General features: G+C 39.4%; 1 annotated feature.

Annotated features, from left to right (window-relative positions):
• Positions 1,288-2,487: an enhancer, noted in NCBI's record as "MED14-independent group 3 enhancer chr13:52052769-52053968 (GRCh37/hg19 assembly coordinates)". NCBI's record gives its function as "activates an origin of replication core promoter dependent on BRD2, BRD4, P300/CBP and CDK7 cofactors, and independent of MED14, by STARR-seq in HCT116 cells {active_cell/tissue: HCT116}" and the evidence as "EXISTENCE:reporter gene assay evidence [ECO:0000049][PMID:35650434]".

A 4,387-nucleotide genomic window follows, 5' to 3' on the forward strand; every position in this document is an offset into this window, starting at 1 on the left:
TTTGAGATCTGGCACAGGCTGAATTCAAGTTTACCTTTGCACTATTAAAAAAAAAAGTTTGCTAGGCAGATGGGTAAACAGTAGAGTTTATCTTACTTTATAATGAGTGTTAAACTATACATGATCTTTAGCCTCAAAATTGTTTATTCACAAATAATAAAGAGAAGCATTGCAGCCATACCTAAAAAAGACCTCATTTTCATACCTGATTATTTTATCTGCCTTTCACTTATGTTGCTGTGTTTTTAAAGTTATAGCAGTTGTTAAAAGTTGTAAACTTATTTATAAAAACTTACGAAACTTTTAGAAAACTTCTGGTATATACACACACACACACACACACACACAAACACACAAAGCAGGGGCGCATGCATTTATTTATTTTTAATTGATACAGGCTTTCCCCCTGTTGACTCTCAGCCAGAGACATTTAACTGGGAAACATTTGGAAAGGTATGAGGGCATTTTTCATTTCTCAATGATGGATGAAGGTCAGGCAGTGAACCACTGACTTTCAGTGCCAGGAACTAAGTATATGAAACAGTCTACAAAATGTGGGACTGACTGTCCCGCACAACCATGAATTATCCCATCCAAAATGCCAATAATGCTGTCACCCTTAAGAAACTCAAAGGGCTCAGCTATAAAAATAAATGAAGTGTTCTTCTTGAACAAGTACAGAAGCAGAGGAGTGTAGGAACTCCATGTGGACTGCAGAGACAGACAGCTTGAGTTCAAATCCAATTTATAGCTGTATGACCTGCATGTTTAACAACATTTAATGATCTGAGACTCAGTTGTCCTATCTGTAAAATGGGTATAACAGTAATACTTGACTCATAGACTTGTTTTAAGAATTAAACAAGTTAAAAGATAGAAAATGCTTGGCATATGGTAATCTCTCAATTGATGCTGGCTAGTGCTATTACAAGTTCATTCCAGTCTGTTTTATGTTAATTAGTATTGGTGAGAAAATGTACAAATATATTTTTTGAAACCTGAAGCTTCTAAATTAAAAAATCTTTAGGTCAGAATTCATTATGCATTAGAAGATATTTCTTGATAATGATAATCATAATGTAAACATGTTCTCAGTCACTAAATATATTCAGACAAAGCAGTAGGAAAGGGTTAAGGGAGCATTCCCAGGCTGAAAAAAATTTCTGTGGTCTGTGGAACAGAGAGGGTGTCAGGGGGATGCTTCACAGGGTGTAGAGATGCAGAGGAGGCCTAACTGAATTATAACCGCGAGTTTGCACAGTGGTGAGCATAGCTGATGAGATGCAAGCAAAAAAAGAGTATTGCTGACCTAGGACCATGAGGAAAAACCAAATCCAAATTAGTCAAGTTGGAGGACATTTGTTGAAAACTCCACACTTCCATGAGGTCTGTAGCCTTGAGCCTATCAGTGCCGACACAGAACATTCTGAATAGTTCAATGCCTCTTTCTGTTAAAGAGGAGACGCCTCACTCTGCCGCTCAATCTTGGACTTGTTTGTGCACAGAGGTCCTTGCTTATGTAACACTCGCTTTTAACTATAATTCACAGAGTCCTTTGAACACATAAAGGGAAAGCCACTTTCGCTCCTGTTAAGGATGTATAAGCACAAAAAATGAACAGTGAATTAATCCTAGTGTTTTATACATTTTTTTTTAAAAAAAGAATCTAAGCCAGAATGAGGTTACTGCCTAGGCAAAGAAGAAGACAGCTCATCACAGGTGAGTGTAACACGTTTTTCATATGTACAAATTAAGCAGCCTGAAACAAAAGGCACTCAAAAGGTAAAAGAATACCAGTCACCCCTCTGATTTGTCAAATCAAAGTTCTGTCAACTGTTAGATGTGTTATGTGATAATGCAAACGATAAATGCCTTAATCACAAATAAGATTGGATAATATCACCATTAGTAGGAGACTTCCAAAAATAGCAATAATAGTACTATGTTGACTCATTCTCTTTCAAAGACTGAGTCACAAAGTACAAAATCCAGTGAGTTAGAATTGATGACGGTAAATATCCTATTCCCCTGTCACTCTTGCTTCCTCTTCCTACTCTCTAAACCTTCACATTGCTATTCAGTCTCCTCCATTATGTTCCCTAGCTGTATATTTACATCTTGTACACACACCCACTTTGCTTCAGAGACCCTCTCTAAAGTTTGCCTTACTTAGATAGCACTGCTGTGAATGTTTCTCAAATCTCTGTCTTCACTATTGTCCCCTTCCTCACACTCCAGTCTTCATGTTACTGGGAGCTTTTAGATAGTGCTACTTAAATACAAATATTCTACGCTGAAATTCACACATTTTCTTCCTACAGTTCACATTCAAATCATCAACATATCTGGACTGCTATTTACAAAATACATCTAGTATCTGACCATTTCTCACCGCCTCCACCCTGGTCTAAGCCACCGTTAACTCTTCCTGGGTTGTTATAATAGCCTCCTCACTGATCTCGATGCTTCTACCCTTATTCCACTTCCCTCTCTCTCTCTCTTTTTTTTTTTTTTTTTTTTTTTTGGAGACTGGGACCTCACTTTGTCACCCAGGCTGGAGTGCAGTGGCATGAACATCATGAGGTCTGTAGTCTTGAGCCTATCAGTGCCGACACAGAACATTCTGAACATTCTCACTGCAGCCTCAGCCTCCTGGGCACTCGAGTGCCTCCCACCTCAGCCTCCCAAGTAGCTTGGACTACAGATGTGCACTACTATGCCCGTCTCCACTTCACATTATTTTAAACACAGCAGCCAAAGTGATGCTTTTAAAATAGAAGTCACATCCATGACACCAATCTCGTTCAGAATAAAAGCCAAATTCTTTACAATTTATAAGGTCCTACACAATGAGACTCTGACCTTGTCTGTTACTCTCCTTCCCCTCAGTCTTCTTGTTCCCTCTGGCTAGAATGTGTCTCCCCCCACCCCCCAGGCATCCGCATGACTTGCTTCCTCACCCCCTTGAAGTCTTCACTTGAATGAATTCTCCACGAGGTCTCCCCTGACTACCCTGACCATAGCTTATTCCCCTTTCCCACTTTTCTTCACAATGCTTTGTGCTGACATAAACTTATTTACTTATTTATTTTTTGACTCTCCATACTGGAAACTGTAGGGACAGGGGTGTTAGTCTATTTTGTTCACTGATAGATCTCTAGGGCCTAGAATGATGCCTGGCACACGATTGCCATTAAATGAACACTTCTTGAATAAATCCCAAATCTCTAACTCTTCTAAAATCAGCTCCAAATATGGACTATCCTACTTTTCCTGAAGATCCGGTTTTCTCCTGCTAAAAGTCTATCCAGTTTCAAAACTGTGCAGTTATCTCCTTGTCTCTGTCCATCACTAAGACTTATTAGTTGACAAATCCTTTCAATTCCTTAATGTTATTAGAATCGGCTCTATTGCTGCTATCTTTTGTTACTAACAGCCTTGTTTGGTTCAGGCTTGGACCTGAATCCTATCTCCACCATTTACTGATTGTAAGATCTTGGGCAAGTTTATTTGGGCAGAGGGAGGGAGGAGGTCTCAGGTTTTCTTTATTATTATTATTGAGACAGGGTCTCACTCTTTCGCCCAGGCTAGAGTACAGTGCTACAATCATAGCTCTCTGCCACCTTGAACTCCTAGGCTCAAGCAATCCTCCTGACTCAGCCTCCCAAGAAGCTAGGACTATATAGGTGACTGCCACCATGCCTGGCTAATTTTTAAAATTTTTTTGTAGAGACGGAGTCTCACTTTGTTGCCCAGGCTGGTCTCTTACTCCTAGCTTCATGTGTTTCTCTGGCCTCGGCCTCCTAATGTGCTGGGATTACCAGTGTGAGCCACCGTGCCCAGCCTCAGGTTTTCATTGATCAGGTAGTATCTACTTTACAGAATGCTTATGAGCATTACATGAAATAGCGTATCTAAAGCACATATTCATACCTGACACATAGTAAGTGATCAATCTATTCCTTCATGCCCGATCCATGGCAATGGAGTTCTGTTATCCCTTCTCCTTGTCTTATTCCATTTCAATACATCATACCAATGCTACCAAAAAAATCTTTTATAAGTGTTGCTTTGATCATGCTGCTCAATTACCTACAACTTTCAAAATCTTTCTACAGAGGAAAGGAATTATAATTTGTGTGCCACTATGCCCCCGGTGCTATATGTACATGACATAATTTAAAATGCCAAATCATTCATCTAACATTTATAGCCTACCCAACTCTGCCTTTCCTCTTTCTAGCTTCGATGGTTAATTTTATGTGTTAACTTGGGCAGGCCATGGTACCCAGATATTTGGTCAAGCACCTGTCTAGATGTCTCTATGAAGGTATTTTTTAGATGAGATTAACATTTAAATCAGTAAACGTTGAGTAAAGCAAATTAG

This window comes from Homo sapiens, chromosome 13 (assembly GCF_000001405.40).
Source record: "Homo sapiens chromosome 13, GRCh38.p14 Primary Assembly".
NCBI classification, from domain to species: Eukaryota; Metazoa; Chordata; class Mammalia; order Primates; family Hominidae; genus Homo; species Homo sapiens.